The sequence below is a fragment of the Homo sapiens genome, chromosome 11, assembly GCF_000001405.40.
Source record: "Homo sapiens chromosome 11, GRCh38.p14 Primary Assembly".
NCBI lineage: Eukaryota > Metazoa > Chordata > Mammalia > Primates > Hominidae > Homo > Homo sapiens.
Window position 1 is genome coordinate 110,998,338 of NC_000011.10, and position 27,218 is coordinate 111,025,555.

The 27,218-nt window shown below is 40.6% G+C and overlaps 1 long non-coding RNA gene across 1 annotated transcript; it reads right to left on the minus strand.

Moving 5' to 3' along the window:
• Nucleotides 1-2,490: 2,490 nt before the first annotated feature.
• Nucleotides 2,491-24,127, minus strand: LOC105369489 (uncharacterized). Its single transcript, XR_948009.2, has 3 exons — nt 22,851-24,127; nt 20,135-20,321; nt 2,491-2,680 (listed from the first exon to the last, which is right to left on the minus strand). It is a non-coding gene; the product is annotated as an uncharacterized LOC105369489 (long non-coding RNA).
• Nucleotides 24,128-27,218: the final 3,091 nt, after the last annotated feature.

The window sequence follows — 27,218 nt, forward strand, 5'->3', positions numbered from 1 at the left end:
AAAGACTATATATAGTATGATCCTATGTATATACCATTCTTGAAATGACAAAATTACAGTAGTGGTGAACAAATTAGTGATTACCAGGGGTTAAGGAGAGGACGGAGGCAGCAGGAGGGAAGTGAATGTGACTATAAAGGAACAGATAGCTTGATGGTTTATGTATGCTGGCAGGGAGGAGTTTTCCTGGGAGATAAAAATGCATTTGCTTTTACCTTAGGTAAATCCATGCAGTCTTTTATGATTTCTGCCTTTAGAGTTCTTAGAAAAATATATAGCACACACTGAGATTATATAGTAAAAGCCACCTTCTATTTTCTTCTATCACTTTTATGGTTTTGTTTTTCACTTTTAACTCAATCTCTTCATACACTGGGGATGGTAGATATGATGGGAGGTAGGATTCTGTTTGATTTTTTTTTTTCAAATGTAGACTTAGCTCTTCTAATACTCTTGAATAGAATGGGAGAAAATATTTGCAAACCACCTATCTAACAAAAGACTAGTATCTGGAATATATAAAGAATTCTTAAAACTAAACAGTGAAAAAAATAATTCAGTTGGATGATATGTAAAAGACATTTCAATGAAGAATATACACAAATGGCAAATAAGTACATGAAAAGATGTTCATGTGCTTTTATCACTAATTTGAGATAGCATCTGATCATTCAAAAAATTCTTACATTTACTTATACTGTGCATATTTTGTCTTTTATATCTGTCTCCTTTACATTTTTATTTATCCCTGTGTGTAAGAATCACTATCATAAGGCATTTAGGGCCAAGAAAATGTTCCCAGTGAGAATTACTAGTCACCTACCTTGCTATCCATGAACTCACTAGCTGGGTAAACTTTGACAAGTAGAGGTCTCTGAATCTCAGTTTATATACCTATAAAATAGAGCTAAAATACAATTCTACTTATTACATGTAGCATACTGAGATCCTCTTTCTTCAAAAGCTTACTAAGGCAAAATTTTGTAAGAAGTGATGATTACCTTGTTTAGCCCTTCCAAGCACCACCATGTTGTTTATAACAATCTTTACAAAAAAAAACTTTTGAATTTTGAGATAGTTTTGGATTTACAGAAGAAGTATAAAAATGGTACAGATAGTTCCAATATATCTTTCACTCAGCTTCTTCTTATGGTAATGTCCTATGTAACCATAGGACAATTATCAGAACTAAGTAACCCCAGTACAATACTAATGTCTAAACTATAGACTTTATTAAGATTTCACCATATTTTTCTACTAAGGTCCATTTACAATTCCATGATCCAATTCAGGATCCCATACTGCATTTACTTGTCATGCCTCCTTAGTGTTCTCCAATCCATGACAGTTTCTAAGTCTTTCCTTGTTTTTTATGACCTTGACACTTTTGAAGAGTACTGCTCAGTTATTTTGATAATAGCCCTTTTCTCTCAAAATAGTTATTTTTTAAATCAATAGCATATCATTGAGTTCCATTTTGTTTTTTCCAACAGCTTTATTAAAATATAATTGACAAATTGAAATTTTATATATTCATCACCTCACCTGGTTACCATTTGTGCATGTGAAAACATTTAAATCTATTCTCTCCACAAATTTCAAGTATATGACATATTTATTACTATGCTCCCCATGCTGTACATTAGGTCTCTAGAACTTATTCCTTCCTACATATGGGTGTGGCTGGTAGACACATAGAACTAAAAGCACCACTTTTTTTTTTTTTTTTTTTTTTTTTTTTTTTTTTTTTTTTTTTGAGACAGAGTCTCACTCTGTCATCCAGGCTGCAGTGCAGTGTTGCGATCTCGGCTCACTGCAACCTCCGCCCCCTGAGTTCAAGCGATTCTCCCACCTCAGCCTCCTGAGTAGTTAGGAGTACAGGCATGCACCACCACACCCAGCTAATTTTTGTAGTTTTAGTAGGGACAGGCTTTCACCGTGTTGGCCAGGCTGGTCTCAAACTCCTGGCACCAAGTGATCTGCCCATCTTGGCCTCCTAAAGTGATGGGATTACAGGTGTGAGCCACTGCACCCGACCTAAAAGCGCCACTTGATACTGATCTTTCCTACTGGCAGAGATGGGATTCCAGGGTCTTAATTATTATTTGTGCATTTTGGTTTCCACAGGCAAAATGAAAGGTAGGCTAAAAGCTTCAAGTTGTTTCCTAAAAGAAGAAGAAAAACGATGTAACTCTCTGCTCCTCTCCCCCCACACAACTGCAAAGGGTTAGCTTAGGACCATGAGTGAAACTTCCACACTTCCTTAATTTCACACATTATGCATAGTTACTATTAGCACATGTGCTTCCAATCACCCCCATCTTACAAACAGTGCAAATGTGGGTGCTAAGAGAATTGAACCTGCCAAACATATTTGACATCACAATGCCCTTGGAAAAGCTATCCGCTAAACCCGGATATATATGTACATCTCAGCAGTTCTATTTTATTAAACTCACAACATTTCCACCCAATTTAAACTCACTGTGATAGCACACGTCGTGACGGATTTGGGTGGTGGTTTCCTTTCCAGTTGGCTCTAAGAATAATGTATTAAGCCAGACCACAATCAGATGCCAAGCCCATGATTAGCTTTCTCTCTCCACTTGGGTCGCTTTTGTTTTTTGAGCAGATATGCAGTGCTGGATACAGCCATTTGTGGGTGGGCTGAGGATGGGCTCTGTTAAAAGAGATGTGATAATGGCTGTGAAAATCCATTTTAAGTGCTGCAACCCTTGTTGCTTTAAATGTTATCTGTGAATTTCCTGCTAAGGGTTGCATTTCTGTAATAGTGATTGCAAACTGGTGGCCCCTGGGCCAAATATGGCTCACAGATGTGTTTTATTTGGCCAGCTCAGTGTTATAAAAGCATCTGAATTTGTGGCCAATATTTACATATTAAGAGATGCTACACAAAAATCTAGATTTCGGTCTTCTCATGAGAAACTCGATGTGACCACATTGGGCCCACTTTTCCATGTGGCAACAATTGGCTGGGGCTGAGTTGCAGCTGGCTCTTTGAGACAGAGTATGTACCATCTGGTTAGCATAATATCTATCCAGCTCACTTCTCCCATTTAGGTAACTTGCTGCATCTCTGTGAGTGTTTAGATTTTCAACACTGGTTTATCAAGATCAAGAGATCAAAGATCAAGAGATCTTAATTATCTAAGCTTCTGGTTAGACCAAGTAAGAAAATGCATGATGAGAAAAGAAAAAGTATGATAAGTCTTAGTCTAGGTTTCTTCAAAAGTAGACCTTGAAAGAAGGATTCAAGTGCAAGTAGTTTATTTGGGAAGTGAACCCAGGAAACACTGGCAGGGAAACCCAGTAGAGCTGGAGAAGAGAAGGCAACCATAAAGAATGTAATGTGAAGCAAGTAACTGCCGTAGTCACCTGAAGCTTCATCCTCCTAGAGGATTGTAGGAGATACTGTAAAGTAGGAGCCTCAGAGTCACCCCAGCAAGGGGCAAGAAAGTAGGAAAATTCATTTGCCATTTCCATCAGGTATTGGTTGATGGCTCTCCGAAGTAGCAAATCAGCATTTCTAGTCTTCCATGGCTGTGCACAGATTGTCTCTAGAAGTCAGAGAAAGCTCTCAGGCAAACGTGCCCCAAATTGTAAATTAGTGCTATAAGCACTGAAATGTAAGACCCAGGGGGATATGTGAAGGGTACCAGCAGTACCAGCCACAACATGCTTCCAAGGAAGGGTGCAATGATGATTTTGTCCCAGAGAATAGAAAGGAAGCACTTGGTATTTGCTGACCAGCAACACAAACTTTCTCTCCCTCATGATAACTGCTCATCCTCTGGAGCAAGTCCTAAAGTCCCCCAAATAGGCCTTCACTTCCTGCTGCTCACTTCTAGTTCCTGAGTAAAAGGATGTATCATCCAAACTGTCCAAAGCAAAAGAATCGTAAGGATACTAAGAGTGTCTTTTGAAGTTGACAATGGGCCTTCGTCCCCTTATTCTTGGCTTGTATTTCTTTATTCCAAAGCAAGGACATTTCAGCACTTTCCATAGTGAGCCAATGATCAGAATCCAGATGTGAGTAGGCTGCCTTCATTTTCTGATTGCTAACAATGGTGAGTCATATGAGGATTGGATGTGACTCAAACATGAGCCCAGTGCATGTGAATGCTTCAGTCATGCCAATGTTTCCTTTGGTGAGAATCCCTCCTAATGTCCAAGCATAGCGATATGTTTATAGTAATTGTTTTTCACTAGAATAGCAGAAAATTATGTTATGTAACTATTTACATTGATTTTCAATTACTAATTGATCCAATCCTGCTGCTATGACAACTGGCGGCACTCAGTTACCCGATGAAAACTGACTATAATCTCGTAAAGAATAAGGGCAATATTGCCAGCACTTACAATCTGCATGTAGACAGTAGGTTCTTGATGAGTCCCATTACTCATTCTTTGCTGTTTGGCACATCATAAGTGCTTAAGAATTGTATATTTGCTCCACATTTCTCTTCCTCCCTTTCTCTCCTCCCTTTTTGCCTCAGTTTATCATTAGAGGTGGAATCGGGGGTTCATAAAAGAACATTCTAGATCATGATATGTAGAAACAAGTTAAATGGGGTGGGAAACTACTAATTCCTTGAACATTAGGTGTCTAAGAAGGGATTTTTTTTTTTTTTTTTTTTTAGGTCCAGTATGTTTTCCTGATCAGGGAAAGACTCTAAATGGCAACAAGCTGGGCTAGACATAATGCCACTTCAAGCCCTGGGTAGCCATAATATTCGATATTGACCCTTGGCTTATGGAATTTTTTGTCAAGTTGATTTTCTCTTTGGGGAAACCTTCTTAATGTGATTTTATTAGGGTTAAACTGTAATAGCACAGAAAATTATTAAATACATAGCAATTATATTCAGATTCAGGTACTCAAGAGAAACTGTACAAAGTCAATCCACATTGATGACATTGTTGATTATTATTTTGTACAATTGTTCAAGAAGAGTGTGCCCATTCAGAATTGAGCCAAATAAAACAGTTGACCCTTGAACAACATACGGGTTATGGGCACTGGCCCACCAGACAGCTGAAAATCCACATATAACTTTTGACTTAACTACTACTAATTTAACTACTACTTAAATACTGCTAGCCTTCTTTTGACCAAGAGCCTTGTTGACAACATAAACAGTAGGTTAACCCATATTTAGTAGGTAGCATATCATATGTACCTACTGTCTCAAGGTGTCTTGAGACACCCTTGCTGTCTCAAGGGTGGCAGAGATGGAGGAAAATCCATGTATTGGACCTGTGTGTTCAGTCCATGTAGTTCACGGGTCAACTACAGAACATTGATTCTCAAGTGGCATGGAAGATGTGAGTGTCAGTAAAGCTGTGGGCAGGGGAACTATAGTGAGAAAACATGCCAGAATCACCTGCATAACTTTTTCAAACTACAAGTCTGCTCACAGCCTGGTGCCTGATTCAGGGAGTTCTGGTCTGGTATGTCACTGAGCAACAACCTCTGGAATAAGGATGCTGTGCATGCCTAAAGAAAGCATAGGTTCTTCTCTCTGCTTATCCCAGGGTGGAGGGGCCTCCTGTTGGCAAGAAGTGCCCTGGACATAACAGGACTGCCTTCCCAATGGGGGTATCATGTATTGCTCAGGAAGGCACAGAGCCAGTAGCCTCAATGAAGGGCAAGCCCCTCTTTGTGCAGACCCCACTGGTTATGACTCTGAGGCTCACAGAAAGTTCCACTCACTGAAACCCCACCAGAAACAATCAGTCCCAATATAGTGTGAAAGAAGAGCTTCACTTAAAAACCATCATTAAAACTTTCACTCCCACTATCACTATGTTGTTAGCACCCTCAATTAAAGCAGAGATTTCCCTCCTGGAAATCACTATGAGTCTGTTACAATCACTAGGTCCCTGATACAATGAAAATATTTTCCTTGAAAGAGGCAACATTCATCCAGAATTACCATTGGACCTATATTTCATATGAGGGATATTGCTTATAACCTCTCATTGAGTACTATGCATCCGTTATAATAATTCTTGAAAACCACTATAGGATGTTGATATTCTTATTCCTTTCTGCAGATAAGGAAACCTAGGTTCCATTAAGGTTCAGAAACTTGCCTCCAAGATGTCATAGAGCTATTAGGTGTAAGACCCATCACTCCTGTACACCAGTGTGGATTATCTCAGGCAAGCCATCATTACCTACTAGGGAGGAAGGAATGGTCATAAGAGAGATGGGGACAGCTCCAGCATTCTGTATATGGGGGTCTTCGGGATGACAATCTGGTTGGGGCAACATGGAGGTGGTTTTTTTTTTTCTTTCCAGAAAATTCTCTTGGAAGCTATGGTTACATTGCAAACTCATATTTTAAAAAAACTCAGTTGGAGTGACTTGAAGAGGAGATTGATGGAACTTGTAGGGGAGTCTAAGATCACCAACCACCCCTGAGTAATGACCTTAAGCCACCATTAGGTTTATCCAATAGCATTTGTTTAAGCAGTTTCCATGTGCCAGGCTCTATGCTGGAAACACACAGTTGGCCCTTTGCTTAAGTCACTCAAGAAAACCAGGGGGAAAGAAGTAGCACTGACAAAATTATGTCATCATTTGAAAGGTGGCAATTCAGAAATATCCAAGATTCACAGTAAGAGTAAATCCTATGGCTTTCCTTTTTATGGTTCTAATCTAAATGATCATTATCATCTCTCAGGACTAGAGATTTTATTTTTCTCACAGAGTATGTGGTCTCCAGGCACACAGCTTGCATAAATCCTGAACACATTCCTCAAGGCTTTATGATGTGTGTGTGTGTGTGTGTGTGTGTGTGTGTGTGTGTGTGTGTGTGTGTGAAAGAGAACAGAGAGAGAGAATGTTACAGGGAGGATGCATGACTCCCTGCTGTGATCTGACAACATTCAGGAAATTTAGAGTTAACATTCTTACAGTCAGCAGTCGCATAGGAGACTGGGCCTCAATCTCTGCATTCCTGGGCTGTCGTCGGCTTCACGATTTCAATGTGCCTCAGTGTCTGTTTTGTATTTAACTCTGCCCCACATATAACACCACAAGACCTGTCCGTGGTTTTGCTGTTAGAGAATGGTTAATATCTAAAGAGGGTGGGTGCCCTCACCAAGCACCCCCAGGGGAGATCTCAAGCTAGAAAGATAATGATCACTTTCATGGAGAAAACCACACAGGCACAAACACCAGAAACTGATATTTAAACCCCGAACTCATAAGGGACCCCACGTTTTCCCATTAGCTGGCTTTGTCTGTTTCTCCTCATCAGCAAACATATGCTCTCCATGGAACCAGCCCAGCCCATCTGAACCAGTTACTATTTCTGTAAGAAGTAGGAGGGGGAGGAGAAAGGGAGAAGAAATTTTACATTACCATTCTCATGCGGTGCTATAAATATTTGCCACAGAAAGCCATGAGGTCTCATTTGCATGAATGATACCACAAAAGCCAACTGTGCCTCTGTGAACTAAGGCCTCTCTCACTCTGTCCTGAGTGCACTGCTTAAATATTGGGGTGGGCTCTTTGATTAGAGAGATCTTAGTTTGACTCCCAGCTCTGCAACATAACATTGTATGACCTTGAGAAACGTAATTGACTTCCATTTCCCAATTTCAACTATCCCATTCTCTCACTACCGTCTTCTACCTGCCAATTCCCTGCCACCACCAGTAGTTCAACAACACTTTGACTCCTACCAAGATCTTGTTTTATTGATCTATACAAGTGTTTCACCATCCCTTACCTCTTGCATGGCCTCCTTTTATTCATTATTCATTTAAAAACGCCACGGCCATTCAGTAATTCTTGAGTGTATTTTTAATTTCCTTGTCCCTCTCCTTTGGCATATTTGCTTGGCTAAATGAGAAACCTAGTTACATCCACCTCTTTGCCTCTTCCTCACCTGAGCCTGTAGCGTTGGACATGTTTGGAGAAAAACACATAATCTTACTGACTAGTCTCATTAAGTTTATGACTACCATCTTCAGCTGTGCCTTCTGCTGCCTGGCAACCACTCTGCCTCCCTAGCCAGTTCACTGTCTCATTTTCCTAGCTGAGGATCTCATACGTCCTCTGTTCTCTTAAACCCCCTACCCCCACTCTCCCTCTCAATTACTGGCTTTGCTTCCTGCTTTCCCGAGAAAAATGAAGAGAGAATTTCCACAAACTCCCACTTCCGCCTCTACCCATCTCCCTATATCTCATTTCTGTTAATGTGGATGAACACACTCTGCTCTCAGCTGAGCAAACCTTGCCACTTCTTTCTCTCGTGCATCATAGGATTTTTTTTTTCTGTATTCAAACTGTTCCCATACTAGCATGCTGTTATTCCGTTTTACTAAAAATCTTTCTTTTGACTCCACTTTCCTCTGTAGCTATAGCCCCCATTTCTCCCTTTCCCTTTATAGCAAAACTCTTTGAAAGAGCAATCTATACAATAGTTACTGTCTCTAGATTCTCCCAACTCTTTCTTGAACACATTCAAATCAGGGTTTTGCTCCAGTGAAAGCATTCTTATTAAGACCACCAATAACTTCCATGTTTCTAAATGTAATGCTATGCACTCGGTAGATATTCTTGAATGATGAATGAATCACTCTAAACCTCATTTTCTTCATATGTAAAATGACATAATAATATCTACTTTTGATATTTGTTGTGGTGACTGATGTACTATAGGCAAAGAATTTCAGAGTAAGTGCTAAATTATATATTAAGCAAAAGACGTTTGCTACATTTTGAGAGGAAATATTTACCTGCAAAGACTCTGCAGCTTCTTTCAATGCTGAACCTTCAGTGAAAGGTGTTGCCCACACCAGTAACCACCCCTTGCTCTTATGAAAAGATTTCCTCCCATTCCTCTAAAGATGGCAACTTTCATTTTCCTAAATTGGATATTAAACTTTGATATGTTGGAAGATGTGAATGTATGTTGTTTGCTGATGAAATTGTGGGGCTTCCTTCCAGTGAGGGGAAGGGCGAGACATCTGGGTTGAAGAGACATCAGCACACTGAGTTTGTTCATTAAGTAGGACCTCCAATATATATGCAACCATTTGAAAATAATTGAAATCTGTTGGGGAAGAGAGAAAGAGAGAGGCATGCAAGGATAGATGGCTGATAACTGAGCACTGCACCTATTTGGTTGAAGACAGTAAAAGGACGGAATGGTCCAGCCAAACTCATTGGCAAGTAGGTGAGCCAGGGGAAGGACTCTAGATTAAACATTTCTCTCCAAGACTCCCATCATACCCTGCTGGAGGGAATATGCATTCCTAAAACTTTTGGGGCCAATTTGACAACATGTTTTTAAAAAGTTTGAAACACGCATGTTCTTTGATCTAGTCATTCAATTTCTAGGAATTTATTCTAAGGAAATAATTATAGATAAGCACAGAGGTTTAGTTACAAGACAGTTTGCTACAACATGGCCCATACTATGGTTTAAAAAAAAAACTAGAAAAATATAAATGTTTACCAATAAGGAATTGGTTAAATACATCATTTATTCAGTTTAATGATATTCAATGAAGTCATTAAAAATATGCTGGAGATTATATTACATGATGTTGAAATATGTTCACAATACATTGTTAAGTGAAAAAATCAAGTTGCAAAACATTATGTAGAGAATGATTTACATTTTTATAAGTTTTTAAGAAAAAAGTTTGAGAGACTTTGTAACCAAATAGTAATAGTTGTGGGATTACAAGTGATTTTCATTTTCTTCTTTTTACTTATTTATATTTTAAAATTTTTCTACAAGTGTGCATTACTTGTGTAGTAAAAGTTAAATCCATAGAGAAAAGTTCTCTCTCTAGTCAGTATAGGACCTTTTGTTCTTTCTCCTGGCCCCTAATGATCATATGCAAATGGACCGAGACTGAAGATACACACAAGTTAATAGGCATACAGCAAGAGGGGAGTGACTTGATATTTTTAAAGAATGTCCATCCATCATTCATTTGCCAAACATTGATGTGTGAACCATGTTTGGCACTATACAAGTATCTAGCCAGCAATGAGATTAACGTGGCCTCCCATCCTCATGTAGTTTTTCATTTACTAGAGAAAACAGATAGTAAGCAAATAATTATGCAAATATGGGAATTGTTACAGAAGAAAAATTTAGTTGTAACAGAGCACATAGAAGAATTTAACCCAGTCTTCAGGGTGAAACTCTTCGGGTTTTAGATACATGGGAAGGAGCACTCCGGACTGATTTCTGCCTTTCTGATTTCTCCCATGATGTGTCTAAGGGAAACTGCCAGTGTGATCGGACTGGACAATGTCCTATTGCTGGTCTCTAGAGTTATTATAGAATCACAGTTCCCAGCCATTCCACTTGTCAGGAGCCAGGAGACCTGCCTGGTTCAAGTCCCAGCTCTGCCGCTTCTAGCTGTGTGACCTCATACAAGTCACTTCATGTCTGGTTTTACTCTCAATATTTACAGAATGAGCTGATTGGTTTAGACAACTCAACAACAACAAAAAGTCTGGGACTGTATGACTTCAGAGGGCCAGAAAGACTCACAAGAGAGGGAAGAGACCCTGGCTTGGGAACGGGTCCAAGGGTAACTAACCCGCCTTGGTTAAGGTGGGGTGGGAAAAATTAGAGAAGATTCCCAGAAGGGGACTCAGGTCTTGAAAGATGAACAGGAATTTGCCAACACGGGATCCTGAGGCTGGGGCCAAGGCCTGAGTGTTCATGCGGCAGGAGCTCAACTGAGGTACAGGAAGAGGGGCCACTGAAAGTGAGTGTGGAGAGAGGATTGTGCTCTAAGGCAAAGCAGAACCATCAACGTTTGAAGTAAAAAGAACTAATAGAAACAGATCTGCCTATGGTGTTGAGGACATTTGAGAGGGCCAGGCTGGAAGCAGGGATACCAGTGAGAAGACTGTCGGAATAGTGCCCAGTCAGAGTGAGACACAAGAGGAGGAGATGGGAGAGAACATGAAACTGGACACTGCAGGTGGAGACGGGGCTTGGCAGCCAGCTGACCAAATTCAGGGAGGCAGGCGCGTGGCCTGGTCAACTGGACAGACTTATGGCAACCAGGAGGAGGGATCGGCTTGGGGTGGGAGAAATTATGGATTCCACATTGGTCACATTCAGTTTGAGATGCTGTTCAGAAGCTGAAGTGGAGATTTCCAACAGGGAGTTAGATGTTCAAAAGCCCCAGAGGTAGGTCTGTGTGGAAGACATATTTGAAAGCCTCAGCTTAGTACCCATTCATTGAAATCATGAGCATAGGCAAGACCACCAGTGAGGAAATGGGACCAGCAATGAACTTCAGGAAACTAATATTTAAGGAATACATGGAAGAAAGGGAGCTAACAACAGCGAAGCTCGAAACAATGGCCAGAGAGAGACAGAGACAGAGAGAGAGAGAAGAGAGAGAAATAAAATAACTGAGTTGTTTTACTCTTTAATTCCTTTCTTTCTTGTTAGAGGACCAAATGCAATATCACATTTAGTTATCTGGGGAGAAGAAGGGTCCTTTTGAGTTTGTCCAGGTAGGGACAAGGGAGAGGTGGAATATGGGGAGTTTGTGGGGGCAAGGGGAGATGAGGTAACTGGGCATTATCCCTCTAGCCCAGGGTGGATTGAGGGATGGGGGAAGAAGGCTGTGCCACACCATACACTCCTAGAAAAAGAGAGATGGGACATTTCACCTGGAGAAAGATATTTGTTGTTTAGTTTATGACACAGGTGGAATCATCATTAATTCCTGGGACAGAGAACCATCTCCTTCTAGCAAGTTCTCCTTGAGGCAATTTCAGATTCAAGTCTGGAAGGGATTGATTCAAGTTATCTAGATATGCTTTGGCTCTGAATAGAGCCAGAATCAACATATTTTTAGGGATGAGCCTGAGATCCACGTTCATCAGCGAGAAGCCAGCACTGCAGGCAGGCCCTGATTCTGTAACACTCAGCCCACCCTGCATATAAGCCATGGCACCCAGGGCCACGAGAGGGAGGCTGGGTGGGATTCTCTGAACTTCTCCCTGGACAGGTGGTCACATGTCATATAGGGTTATCTCCCCTCACAAGAGTGTAGTGATGTCTAATTTCATGATCTGTGCAATTTGACCTTCAGGAAAGAAACTTAAGCAGAAGTGGGCTGTGGATTTAGAGGAGAAGGATGGTAGTGTGGGTATCAAAACCAACCCTTTGTCTGTGCTGTGCAATCCAAAGAATGAGGATAACTGCCCAAGTATGAGCTGATGAGCATGCCTTTTGTCAACAACTGTTTAGTGGCTCTGCTAAGGAGGCAGCTCCCATGGTTAATGACCCACAGAGTAATAACACTGCATACACTTAAGTGCTAATTGTGCACTGGGGAAAATTCAACAGCATTTTCGGGAAGAACAAAGTGATTTTCAGGCCTTCAGGATTTGCTACTGACACTCAGATAACGTGGCTTCTCTAACTGGGGAACAAAACACGTGGATGTTCTGACTGGGGAACATCCAACACGTGGCCCTTCCTGCTGCCTGAGATAGGAGCCAGGCACGAGGCTGCACTCTCCCCTCCAGGCTGTTTCTCTGGAAATAGAGACCCCTCTCTTCCCCACAATATGGTTTGTACTCCCTCTTCTGCCCTCTGAGCCCCACCCCTCAGGACCTTTGTACTTGCAGTTCTCTTTGCTTGTACTCTCTTCCCTCAGATACCCCTCAGGCTCACCTACCATCTTTGAGTGTCTGTCCAGTTGCCACATTACTTTTAAGTGACTTAGAATGGCAAATCCAGTTCTAAAATGGCGGCCTGCCAAACTGGCTTGGTTTCTAGTTTATCTCACTGTCATGCATATGGGGACCCTAAAACACATCACAATGACTCAGAGACTGAAACTCTGTCCCTTTCTCTTTTTTTAGCTCATAAAGCCAGTCACACAAGGCATTTTTTTGTATAAGAAAGTTCACTTAAGTTTCAAGGAAGATGGATGTCATCATGGTTTGCATCACAACAGGGCAAACAAGTTTTATATTCAGGACAGTGTATAATGAACTCATACATTGAACATCAGACATCCCTATTTGTAAGTGCTTTTGGCCACTCACCTCTGGGGAGATTTTATGAGCCAATTTAATCCCATTGAACAACTCTGCCTTCTTTTCATGCTTCTGTCTTCTCTCTCCCTTCCCTCAGTCTCTATGATCCCTTTCTCTTCCCATCCCCATTTTTACCCCCCTTTGGAACTCAAATTTCTTTCTCATTCTACTATGAAGAGCAATTCAATTCTCTCCAGCTCCTACTCACAACGTCCAGGCCCATTTTTGTAGATCTAAGCCCATTAACATGCACATCAGAATGAAAGGGACCTTCATTGAACAAAACCCCATCTTCCTCTGACTGCAACTGCACCTGTTATAGTAATAGCTTATTTCTGTTCTCATGGAAAAAAAAAAGGTTCAGTTTTAACCTATAAAGCAGGACAGCTGGTGGTAGGCCCATTCTGCTATTAAAAACAAGAAGTCCTTTGTATGAGTTTATTACACATTGTCCTGAATATAAATGTGGTGTCTCCACAGGGAAAGGTTCTAGGAGACAGATAATTTGGCAAATGTTACAGTCATCTAGGTAATAATGTCATCAGTGCCCCCAGGTGAAGGAGATGATAGCACAAGACACCAAGACAAGTCAGCCTCAGAGAAGGAAGAGATTTACTTGAGAGTCTGTTTATGTGCTTTACAGACCAAAGGTACCAGGAGCACATTCCTGCATCCCCTTGGCAGAGGTTCTGAGTAGCCTGTGATGCTCAGCACATAGTAGGTGCTCAATAAATATCATAGATTGAGGGCCAGGCACGGTGGCTCAGGCCAGTAATCCCAGCACTTTGGGAGGCCAAGGCAGGTGGATCACTTGAGGTCAGGACTTCAAGACCAGCCTGGCCAACATAGTGAAACTCTGTCTCCATTAAAAGTATAAAAATTAGCCGGGTGTGGTGGGCATCTATAATCTCATCTACTCAGGAGGCCAAGGCAGGAGGATTGCTTGCACCCGGGAGGCAGAGGTTGCAGTGAGCTGAGATTGCACCACTGCACTCTAGCCTGGGCGATAGAGTGAATGAGACTCCATCTCAAAAATAAAATAAAATAATAAAATAAAATAAAATCACGGAGTGAACGGAGGACTGAAGGAATGGATGGCCCCATTCACTGAGTAAGTTCCACCACAGCAGGTGTTTTAATAATGCACCAGTTGGAAAGTATAGCAGAAATGATTCCATATGGATGTGGACAGTCTGCATTTTCTACAGCACAGGCAGAGACAGGACCGTGCAGGACAGCGCCAGGATAGCTGGGACATTAGACACATTTGGCTTTAACACTTCCTAAGAAAGAAATGGATCTGGACAGGCTCAGGCATGAGTAAGTGCATTCTCAATTCTCCCTCCAATCATTGCAAACCAAAGGCATGATTGTATTTGTCTGGGATTCATTTTCAAAAAGCATAACAAAAATCATATATGGACCTGAACCAGGGCAGACTAATGAATATTGATTTTTTTTTCCTTCTGTGTGAAATCTGAATATCTCTCTTTGGTAACATTGCTCATTTTATTCTTCTCAGATGCTGGCTGAAGCATGGGCTTTGGAATCAGACAGAATCTGGATTCACCACTTATTGATCAGGTAATCTTGAACAAGGTACTTAATCCCTCTGAGCCCCTGTGTCATGAGTTGAAAACTAGAGAGAACTGTGCAGCTGAGAGAATTATTGTGGAAATAAATAAGACATCTGTGAAAGTACCTAAGCAGAGTTCTGACCATATTGGGTGTTCTCCATAAGTCATAGATCCTCTGAATGAACAATTAATAAAGAAGTTAGCATTGCTTCTCAATGTTCCAAAATATTGCTGTGATAAAGATACGTGCGAAGTACTGCAGACACAAGAGAGTACCTCTAAGTCTGTCTCAGGGCACAGGAAAGCCTTTGGGCAGGAGGTGGCCAGTGAGCGTGCATGTGCGTGTGTGTGTGTGTGTGTGTGTGATACTGGGTAGGGAGTGATCATTTCTGAAGCTGGAATTCAAACCCAGGCGTATGTCTAACTCTACAGATAAGGGAGCAGAAGTGGATCCCATGGAAAAAAACAAAGGGCATTTAGGCAGAAGGCACATCATATAGAAGAGCCAGGTGAGTTGAAAGTATTTTACAGACTCTAGAAATAAAGGAAGTTTCATGTGAAAGAGAATAAAAGGTGGGTGGTAGGTGGTGAGGCTGGAAAGGGAGGCAGGGACATCTCGAGATGTGGGGACAGTTGTGCGGTAGCAACTGACACGGCCAGGTCTGTGTGTAGCAGGAACACTGGCAGATCGTAGAGGCTGGCTTGGAGTGGGGAGAGGCTGGAGACCAGGAGATTTATCATCATCACTCAATTGAGTCATTAATACTAAAAACAACTATCTTTTATTGAGCTCCTGTAACCTGCCAGACAGGGCACTTAGACAGTTTTCATGTTTCATCTCTGGCCCCACAACAACTCTGTGAGGCAAACACAATTATCCCCAATTTACAGTTAAGGAAACCAAAATGTTGAGCAGTTAAGGAATTTGTCCAAAGTCATATAATAAATAATTTCTGAAGCTGAAATTGAAACCCAGATGTGTTTCTAACACTCAAGCCTCTGCTGTCCTGCGTCTCCTGGTCAGCAAACATTTGGAAAAGTGAGCCCCATCCTCAAACCACAGGCTGCTGGAGCAAGACTCTGCTCTGATGGCAGCCGCCTTCCTGCCTGTTTTTGACCCCCATTTATGGCTGTGGAGTGACATTGCCCCCTCAATCCCTACCTACCCGATGCATACAGATATGCACACACAAACACACACACACACACACACGTATACCATATTTTGACCCCGATTGCTGCTCTTGCTTAAACTACATCCTAATTCTGTCTCACTTCTTGGACACCATGCTTTTGCTGAGTCTTCCCTGAGCATCTGCAGTTCTAACTATCCCCTCTTGCCTGCTCCACCCTAGGGGGGGGCCCAGATTCTTCATCCTCTGTCCTCCCAGTCTGGCCATTCTGAAATAATGTTTAGTCCTTTCCACATTGCAGGATGGCAGAAGGAACAGAGAAGGAGGCACTGCATGGGTAACTGGAAGTGTGGCAGGAAGAGGAGAGCAAACAAGTGACAACAGATTTGCAGCTCTTGATCAAAGGCAGCTCAAATAAGATAAATCACTACATAGAGCATTTTTAATGAAAAGGGCTTTGCTGTACATCATTCTTTTCTTATTTTTACCCTAAAGGGACCATACCAAAAGTTGCTAGAGGTATTCCCAGGCAAAGGAGGCAGCATATTGAGTGGGAAGACATTGTGAGGCCGAGCACCTGAATGGAAGCTGCCAACCAGCCCGCCTCCCTGCCTCCCACCCTTCCTAAAGTTATTCTCTAGTAAATAGCCCTCCCACCTGGATTGGCACCTATTGAAGGGTGACTGATTATCAGAAACAACCCAGCATGGGACCTCTACTTACATAACTACAGAAAAGGAGAAAAGAAACTGATCAAACACAAATATAAACAACAACTTTCCAAAAATGTCTATCTCACCAAACAAGCAAATTTCACTTTGCAATGGACATCATCAACTAAGTAGAAGGAAATGTATGCTTTTGAAGAAAGATTTCAAAAAAGGAAGTTTAAAAAGAAAGAATAAGGAAGAGAAAGTAGGGCAAGATAGCGGATAGTGAGCAAGAAAAGTTCAGGAGAAAAGTTGAAGAAAGAAATAAACCCATCAAATGTTCAAAATAGCAAAATATTAGAATAGACACTAATTGAAAAACAAAGACATGGAGGACTGGCTTGAAACAAAAACATACGAATAAAAAATATTATCAAATTATGAGATAAAAGTCATTAGACAGTAAATTACTGGTACGCCAGTAGAAGACAGACTAAAGACATCAAATTTTGAATCAGAGTTAGGAAAAAGTAAGAACAGGACAATTAGAACAAAAAAATTCAAAAATACCTGAAAAGAAAATTACCATGAAATAAATAACAGAAATCTAGAATTTATACAGATTAAAATGGCATATTATAGCTCAGAAAAAATAGTGATACAGAAAAACCAGCTCTAAGATACAGCCTAATGAAGTTTTCAGACTTCAAGAATAATAAAAGAATTCAGTGAAATTCAGCATTCCTCATCTCCCACACACAAATATTCACCTATGGGGAAAACTGATGATTCCTCCATATTTAGTACTAGAAAATAAGGAGTGACTCAGATTTGCTTTCAAGTGTAAAGAGAGCAGATAGAATTTTTCAAGTATGCAAGAGATCAGGAACAAAACGCCTACGTGTCCTTCTGTATAAACTAGGTATAACTAAATGGTGGTTCAAAGTTGATATAAAATAATCAATATATAAAATAAGCAGAAAAATACAGAAAAGATTTCATTTTTATTTATATTAAGAAATATATCTAGAAATAAACTTAAAAAGAAAATGTGGAAGACATATGAAAAAAACCTACAGGAAGAAATCTTTGCTGAAAACCAATAAAAGCTTTATATAAAGAAAAAGTTATATTTTTACAGATACATTCCCTATTTTAAGGATCATAATGCTTCCTAAATTAATGTATAACTACAATTTTATTACAATCAAAATACTAACAGGCATTTTTTTAGAACTTGCAAGCTGATCTTAACATACAAAAGAAAAATTTAACATGGAGATATAGCCAGAAAATTTGGTTAAAAAAAGAAGCACAAAAAAGGGGGGAATGGCTCTAAATTACTAAAATGTCTCCAGTAATTTATAAAATTTGATGCTGTCACAAGTGTAGATAAGCAGTTCAGTGGAATGGAATAAAGAGTCTAGAAGCAGACACAAACACACTTGTAAAGGAAGCCCATTAATGGAGTTTAGATGACTGACTGGCTATGTAGAAAACGTAGCGCCGAATTCCTCTTCCTACCTCCTTTCTTCCACCGAAAATAAATTCCTGATTGGTCAAAGATTTAAGTTTCAAAAATGAAACTATGAAGTAACTAGGGGAGAAGATGAAATATTTAAAATATAATCTGGCAGCAGTGACATTCTAAGTATGACATGAAAACCCAAATCTATGAATTTCACTTAATAAAAAATTTAAACTTTCACATGGCAAAATCCACTATAAATAGACTCAGAAGACAAATGACGAATCAGGAGGAATATTTACAGCACAGATCACTGGCAAAAGGTGAATTTCCTTAATATCTAGAGTTTTACATATTAATATATTAATTTACATGTTAGCAAGACCAACAACTCAATTGAAAAATGAGGAAGGATATGAACAAGCAATTCATACAGAAAAAGTAAAAGAATACCCCCTTAAAGTATGAAAGGATGATTATATTGCTCATAGTTGAATGAAATTTTCATTATGATGAGATATCATTTTCACCTATCAGATTGGGAAAGATTAAAGCATCAGATAATACCTACCATTAGCAAGGTTGCAAATGGGTGCTGCAACACTGTATGCTAGCGGGGAACGTGACAGGGGAATTTGGTAATATTAACAGGATAAAATTACAAACATAAAAATGCTGTGTTCAGCACTCTTTTTAATAGCAACATTTTGCAGGCAACCTAAATGTGCAATAAAAGAAGAATGGTTACATTATGATAAAGTCAGACAAAAGAGTTTCATATGGCAGTTAAAAAAATGAAGTGCTGATGTGTAAATATCTCTTAGATTGATTGTTAGTTTTAAAAAAGGAGTTGCAGAACAGCAAGTATAAAATGAACTCATTCGAGTACAATGATAAAGAATATATACTATATCCTTTACTTACATGCTTGCATATGCATAGAAGTTTCTGGAGAATTACACATGAAACCATTTCTAATGTTCACCTTTGGTGAGTGGGCTGAGGAAGTGGGAGAGCAGAAAGACCCACACTTTGCACATAAAGAAAAGTGCCATGTGTGTCAATTTTATAATTTAAACAACTTCTATAATTAAAAAATGGAGTAAAAAGAAATTAATTTTATGGGGGAGAACAATGTTTCTTTATACATTCCAGCTAGTACAGCACTCTATCACCCTTCCTATTCGCTAGAGGGACATTGACACCACACATTTTCATCTTACTTGGCTCATTTGACAGCAACAAGAATTTTGCTGGACACAAACTGAAGAAGTTTGGGAGACGGGCCCATAGACAGAGGGCAGGAGTGAAGAAGGCACTTTACATTTTACCAAGTTATAAAAATTAGCAGCTTGATTTTTTTACTCAAAAAATACTTAGGGAAATAAATTTATATATCGCATTAGGATTAAATACTCAAGGTCGCCATTAAAAAATCCCAAGACCAATTTGAATGTACTTCCATCCTCAGCCAAATTGTGCTGGGTTCTGGGGCTATGACAACAGTAAAACACATCCTCTCTCCACAAGCAATTCTAAGGCTGGTAGGAAAGGACAAGAAACAACTTAAAAATGATTCAGTAAGTGTTACTATAGCTGACACTTACAGGAGAACTTCTCAAAGCGAGAAATGGTATACAAAGTAGAATCAGAGCTCCTTAGCTCACCATGTGGGACTGGGATGAACTATTCTCTCTCACTCACCAACGCTTCTCATCAGAAGCTGAAATAAGGGGAGAGAGAGGCCCAGTCTTTATTTTACTAACATAACCCATGATCCCTCTCCATAGAATTTCTTTCCAAGCACAGTGTGTTTCATAAAAAAAAACAAACAAAAACAAAAAAAGAAAAGAAAATCTTGCATAGCTTTTTTTCCTTTTTCTTTTTCTTTTTTCAGAAGGGGAATTTCCTCTATACCCTTCATGAAAATTTTTAGGATTAGATTCTTCCTGCACTAGAACTCTCGGATCAAGGCATCCTGCACCCAACATATAGGAATCAAGGTTACTTACCAAAGAGGACTTAGGAGCTGATATGTTATTGTTTGAAAAATCTATCATTGATTGACAGGCCAAGAGATTGCATTTCTGCCTGAATAATAAGAGTTTAAGTTCACAGAACACTCTCAGAAATGATATCTTATTTGATCGACACAATGCCTATAAACTAGGTATTAATAGTATTCTCCATCTGATAGATATTTCCAAATAAAGGATTAAGGAACTTACCTTATTTCATTTAAACCACATAAAACTGTGTAAAGCAGTTGTTATTTTCTTTCATACATCAGGATTTTTGCTAATAGTGTTGGTTAGGAGAAAGACGAGCCAAAATGCCTAGGTTCCATTCCCAGTTTTGCCACTTAATGACTGTGTGATCTTGAGCAAGTTGCTTAACTTCTCTGTGCCTGAGTTTCTGTACATGTAAAAATGAGATGATGATACTTTATGGGGTTACTGTGAGGACTAAATGAGTTAATAGATGAGAAGTACTTGGAACAGTGCCTAGTACATAGGAAGTATTATGAAATTGTGAGGTCTTACTCTGAACCTAGAGGTTTAGATTATTTCTGTTTTGTTTTGTTTTTTGAGACAGAGTCTCACCCACTCTGCTGCCCAGACTGGAGTGCAGTGGCACAATCTTGGCTCACTGCAACCTCTACCTCCCAGGTTCCAGCGATTCTCCCGCCTCAGCCCCCCAAGTAGCTGGGATTACAGGCATGTGCCACCACAGTCGGCTAATTTTGTATTTTTAGTAGAAATGGGGTTTCACCTTGTTGGCCAGGTTGGTCTTGAACTCCTGGCTTCAAGTGATCTGCCTGCCTCGGCCTCCCAAAGTGCTGGGATTACAGGCATGAGCCACCACACCCAGCCAAGATTTATTCTTGATTTGCATTTCACTGTACTGTGGTTTCCCAGAGTGTGTTTGTGGAATGTTACTAGCCTTTATGGGGAGAAAATTAAAGAGGATCATATTGTCAGACATATTTGGGAAGTGTTACATTAGATGAAATTGAATAGCTCTCTTCTTTATAATACCACCCAGAGCATTTAATAAATTTATGGTGAATGTGAATCTCTTTGGAGGGTTTCCCACCTAAACACTGGCACTGAGGCCTTTCCTTCCTCACTGTCTTTGACCTGCTGGCTACAAAACTCTCTTTCTGGAGACGGAGGACTTACAGGCATCCTTGGTCTTTGAATGGTGAAGGGCATTCACAAGGGGACGTTTCACTGGGGCCTGGCCATGTCATAGGGTCCCGGCTGGCTTTCTGCTGTGAGTGATCCACAGGCCAAATACAGACAGCATAGATAGAAGGCCTGTACCTCTCAGAGACAAGATCGAAAGCCAATATCCTCTTTTCCTGGTGAGTGTGGTGCTCCCTACAATTGTAACGAAGAACTGCATGTCACAGGGTGACCATGCGCTCTGTGGCTTCCCTGAATAGACATCAATGATACTTGCTGCCCTCTCCTCCACCGAGATGTCTCCTGTGGGGAGACAGAAGGGGCACTAGCTAAAGATCTTCTCTTTCTCCAGCCTCTCTCCAGTTCAAGTGGCCTGAGGAATTGTAAACTTTTATAAAGATGGAGTACAGAGAAAAAAATTGAGTTTTATATGACATTAGGCCTCGAAAGACGGGTGGGGAACTTGAGAGAATCGAAAGTTTGTAAAACTGTAACCAAAGTTTGTGAAATTCTTATAGTTAGCAAAGCACTTTGATTACATCATCTCCTTTGAGTCGCTGGACATTGCTGGAAGTTGTGTGCTTAGCCTGCCCATCTTATAACGAGGTAATGAAAGCCTAGTGGGATAGGAGACCTCTCTAAAGCCACATAGCTAGAGGTTGGCAGGGCTAGGACCAATAACCAGATCCTGACAGTCCAGAGTTATTGCTCTTTGACCCACGCTGTGGTGCCAGGCATGAGAGTGCAGGGTTATTGGAGGAGAAGAGTAGAGACAGCTGGGAGTAGAAGAGGAAATAAAAAATAAAAATGGGAAGGCAGCTTCACCACAGCATTGCCTTAGGACAGGCTCTGAGTAGAGCTGCCAGCCCTACATGTTTGATAAGACAAAACCTGCCAAAAGTGAAAATCCATCCTGCTGAGGAGTTTAAAAAATAATTTCAAGCCGGAAATTGCATTTTATCTTTTCATTCCCTGAAGTCCAAAATTCGCCTCCCTGCAATTGCCTTGATTTAAAAAAAAAAAAAAAAGATTCCAGCATCACAGTTCAACACACAGAGTCAAAAGTCCCTGTGCATCCATGCTGAAAATGGCCAATTGAATTGGCACGTCTTGCAATGAGACAGGAGACTGCACATCTATCAGGCATCGGAGCCCATTTTCATCATTCATTATTATTGGAGAAGAAAGAGATTTTTGCTCATGCACAGACAGAGGATAATACTGATTGCTGTGGTAAGATATCCAGGGACTGGGAGCTGACTATCACTTGTTTCTTGGGAAACAGTCTTCTCTAAATTTAAGGGCCAGGAAGACAAAGATAATAGCTACAAAGAAATTTTCTAAGCACTGTTTCTTCCCAGAGACCCATAGACATAATCGGAAAGAGGACTATATTATGGTAAAAGAGAGCATGGGCTTTGCAGTCAGGCCAGGTTTAAACCCTACCTTCCCGTTGACAAGCTGTATGACCCTTGGCAAGTTATTTCTACTGTCTGAGCTTTGATTTCCATACTCCATAGGTTTTATTGTGAGACTCAAACAAAATAGCCTATGTTATCAATAATGGCTTAAACCTGCACACTCAATCAATTATATGTCTTTTAATCAAAGTCATCATAATTCAGTAGGAAATGAGAAACCTTGGTTAGGGCAAATATTAATAAACCCAGCTGTCTGATGAAGAGCCACTGCGATCAGCAATAGACTAAAGCAGAAGTTGGTGAAAGTCAGAAGTGAGCAGACGTTAGACTGGCACCTTGGTTCATTCGCGTTCTCCATTCTATCAGCCCCAGAACCTAAGGCCTAGGAAGCCAGGGCAAGGGTGGAGCCTCCGATTCACAGCTGACCATGTGCCAGCTCCAGCTGAGAATGTAGACAGAGTAAACTATTCAAAGAGGCAGGCCAGGGGACACCATGCCTCTCATGTTACCTTCCAGAAACATGTCCTGGAATCCTGGCAGGCTGAGGGTTCACAATGCCTAGCAGGAGCCTGTTGCCAAGGGGGTGAAAACTAGAACCAAAACAAAGAGGCAGGCAGGGGATTGGCCGCTATGGAGTCAAGAAAATGCTTTTTTTCAGCTCATACAGAAGCAGATCAAGCAGAGGAGGTTGCTGAGGGCTGTTTCTGTTAGAAAAGCACCTCTCATGCCATCATAATCAGGCCCATTAAGCTATCATGAATATTACAAAGCACCTTATGTGACCAGCCAGGGTTAGGTGCATGTGAATAGTTGGAGGGGCTCATCCTCTATTTACGTTAAGTTAGTTCTTTGCGAAGCTGGACTTTATAGCCTGGCCCCTTACAGAACCAATTTTCCTGAGTTATGGTTCAATGCGAATCTCAAGGCTCTTACTGACAGCCTAAGAAATACCCCAGAAAGTCTGCTTCCTACACTGGTCATTATGTCATTTAATATTCTTTTAAAAAAGTAAAACAACTCTCATTTGGCAAATGCCTTTTAGAGTTAACAGATACAGTAGAAAGGCCATAGGTTTTGTGACTAGGGACCTGGATTGGAATCCTGGCTCTCCATACACTAGTGACACTCTGTCAAGTGGAGGAATCTTATTTCTTAATGGAGATAGTAACACCTTCTTGGAAGGGTGTTATAGGAATTGCAGAATTCACTGGATGTTTACAATGTGCAATGCACCCTGCTAGAGCTTTATAAGCACCTCACTAAATTCTTACAACAAACTTATGAGCCAGGGATTATTAGCCCCACCCCATCTGCTTTCCAAGTGCACAGATAAGGGATCACCTGTATTGCATTAGGTAAATTACCTGGAATCTCCCTGCTAGTTAGAGAGGGAGGGGCAAAGGTAGTGTAGGTGAAAGCTCCTAGGAGTTACTGAATGGGCGCCAAAGGATCATCAGCTACCTTTTCCTGCTTCTCTTAAATACCTGAAATCTTCCCTTTTGAATGACAGAAAGACTGAGCGTTGGCCTCTCATGGTTTTTTTGGGGTTTTGTTTTTGTTTTTGTTTTTTGTTTTTTTCCTTTTTGCCTCTTGGGCAGTTTCAACTTAACATTCATTAACAGTAACTCTGTTTTATGAATATTTTATTCCCCCCATTTTTTCATGGTTTTGAATTTCCTATTTTAGAACCTCTATTACAGCAACATTTGTTGGAATCAATTTAATAACCCTTTGAAAGCAGATAAACTACAAATCCAGGGTCTGTAAATGGGCTACTAGCTGTTGGATGGACACAGCCCTAATTTAAAAATAGGTCACTTTTTTAAAAAGTCAAACATACTAGAATGCTTGAATTCAAATGATGACTTAAACCTCCAGAGCCTAAACATGCATTTCAATGATAAATATTCCAAAAATCTTGAATGGCTCCTTCTCAGGAATTGCCACTAATATCTGTGGTATTATTTTCCCATCCTTAAAATGATGGTAAATTCACATTTGGGATGAGGGGTTTAATTTTTGGAAACAGATAAAAGTCATTCAGAAATAAAGTTGTTGACCAAGATGAATGATTAAACTGGGAAATGTGGGCTTTGGTCTGATGCCAGATCACTATTTGAAATATGAGACTGATGATCCTTCTCACGGGGTTTCAGAATTGGCTAGAAAGACATCATCAAATCCTAAATATCAGGCATTGGAAAAATATGCCTAGAAAGCCATTGAAAAGAGGAGATCACTTTTGAAGAAAGAGACACTGTCCTTCTGAGGGGAAGGATAACTTGGAGGTAGGAGGACCACAGCAAGGGGGAGCTGTGATAGCCATGGGAAGACAAGCTTAGGTGTGGTCATGGGAAGATGAGCTTAGGTGTATCCAAGGAGAACTTGAATTAAGCTTCTGAAAAGCAAAGGGGAGGCTGGGCGTGGTGGCTCATGCCTGTAATCCCACCACTTTGGGAGGCTGAGGTGGGTGGATCACTTGAGGTCAGGAGTTCAAGACCAGCCTGGCCAACATGGTGAAACCCCGTCACTACTAAAAATACAAAACTTAGCCAGACATGGTGGTGGCGATCTGTAATCCCAGATAGTCAGGAGGCTGAGGCAGGAGAATCGTTTGAACTTGGGAGGCAGAGGTTGCAGTGAGCTGAGATTGCGCCACTGCACTCCAGCCTGGGCAATAGAGGAAGGGTCCACAAAAAAAAAAAAAAAAGAAGCAAAGGGGAATAGGTGCTAAAAGCCAGAGAACTCCTCCTTCCTTGTTTAGTACAGATCAGATTGCTATGGAAAGAAACATCAGGAACTCTCATTTCAAGGGCCAAGTTTAAGTGAAAGAGGTGAGAGAGGAAGAAAGGTGGACATAGTCAGCACATGCAAAGAAAAGCAGAACAAATCTCAGGCTACCACATGATAGTCATTGGTACCTGGGCTAAGTATCTCACATGTATTCTGAGAGTATTCTTATGTATTCTCATGTATTCTGAGACACTCAGTTCATTATGCTCAAATCTAATTTAGCACTAATTTCCATTATTCAAAGGACTTTTATATCCTTGTTTCAATGAATGCCCACAACACCCTTGTGATGTGAGTGGGGTAGGTAATGTTATGAAACCTATTTGATAGTACGAAGGCCAAGATTCAGATAAATTTGTTGACTAATGAATCACCCAAGGTCACTCAACTTATTAGTGGCTAAACCATCTCTGCTAGAACTTTGATCTGTTGGCTTCAACTTTTGAATTTAACTATCTACTACTTTTCTATCCTCTTTATCAACAAAGACATTTACATTCTGAGATATTTTCTACAAAGAAATTATCATAGCAATTTTAGCAGTCTTTATTAGTATATTGGATATAACATAAAGAATAGCTTCAAAAATTAGAGAAGACTCTTCTGATAACTTGTGTTTCAAAACCTAAGAATACCTACATAGTTGTTCCATCACCCTCTTCCTTTGAATGAAGCAAAAGGAGTACAAATAACATTTCTTGTGATATAAGCTATGCTTTCTTTTCACAGATACTTAAGGTCTTCGATGAACAACCAATTATTCTTCCTAAAACCTACACCATGGCACAGACTCCTTCAGTCCTATTTGTCTGCCCAACCTAGCCAATACCGAGACAGATGGAGAACAGGTCCCTCTCAAGCTCTCATGACTCACTTTACTGCTCACCTCTTAGTAATCCAAATAGGAACCCAGCAATATTTAAGCTTCAGCAGCCTTGAAACCCAAACCAAGTTTTACTCCTACACCTGAGTTTGATCGAAATCTTCAAAGAATGCAAGGAAAGGCTAAGATGTAGACTGTTCAAAGATGGGATCTCTCATTAACTTCTGTCTCTTCAGTATCAGTATGATACCTGTAACATACTTAAAGTAGATGAAGAAAAAAGTGGGAAAGTTGGAAGGAAGGAGGGAAGAAAGAAAAGAAGGAAGGAGAGAGGGACAGAGTCCGGAGAAGGACCTGTATCTTTAATCCTGGCCAAGGATTAAAGCCTGGTCCTGTCTCTGTTCCTGGACCTTCTGGCAAGGCAAAGAAGTGAGATCCCTCAGCAGCCTGCTCTCCTGCTTGCAACCCTTGATGACTTTAATGAAGAAGCGTTATAAAAATACTTGGTTTGTGTTCATAAAAGCCACCAAGAAATAGGGAAAAATAAAGACTGGGAATTGACTGTAACCAGAGGCATTTTCACTAGGAATTCTTGGCTTGCTTTCTCTCTATGAGCTATGCCCACCTCAGGAGCTTTCATGTGGATAACACAGAGATTTTCTTTTGAAAAGACTCTTACTATGCCTTATGGGGTCTGTGAGTTGCACTCTATCCTCTGGGGCATAAATTTACTAAGGAGATGGTGGGGGTCATCATTCTTCCATGGACAAGCACATCTTCTCTATGACTCCTGCCAATCTTCCCCAAGACTATGCTGGCATGGTAGTCTACAGCGAGCTAGCAACCATGCTATGACTTATGCAGGTTTTTGCTTCACACATTCATTTTGCAATTATTTCTTGATTGTTTACCAGGTATCTGGCACTGTGCATTATTTCCCCTCCCCTCCCGCACAACAGTACCAGGGAAGACAGCAGAAGTTTGTGGTGGAGGGTTATGTTTCCCAGTGGCCCTTCGCTCATTTAGAAAATTCTGAACTTCTTCCCAGCATCTGTGGAGGCAGAACCCTTCAGTGCACTGGGAGCAG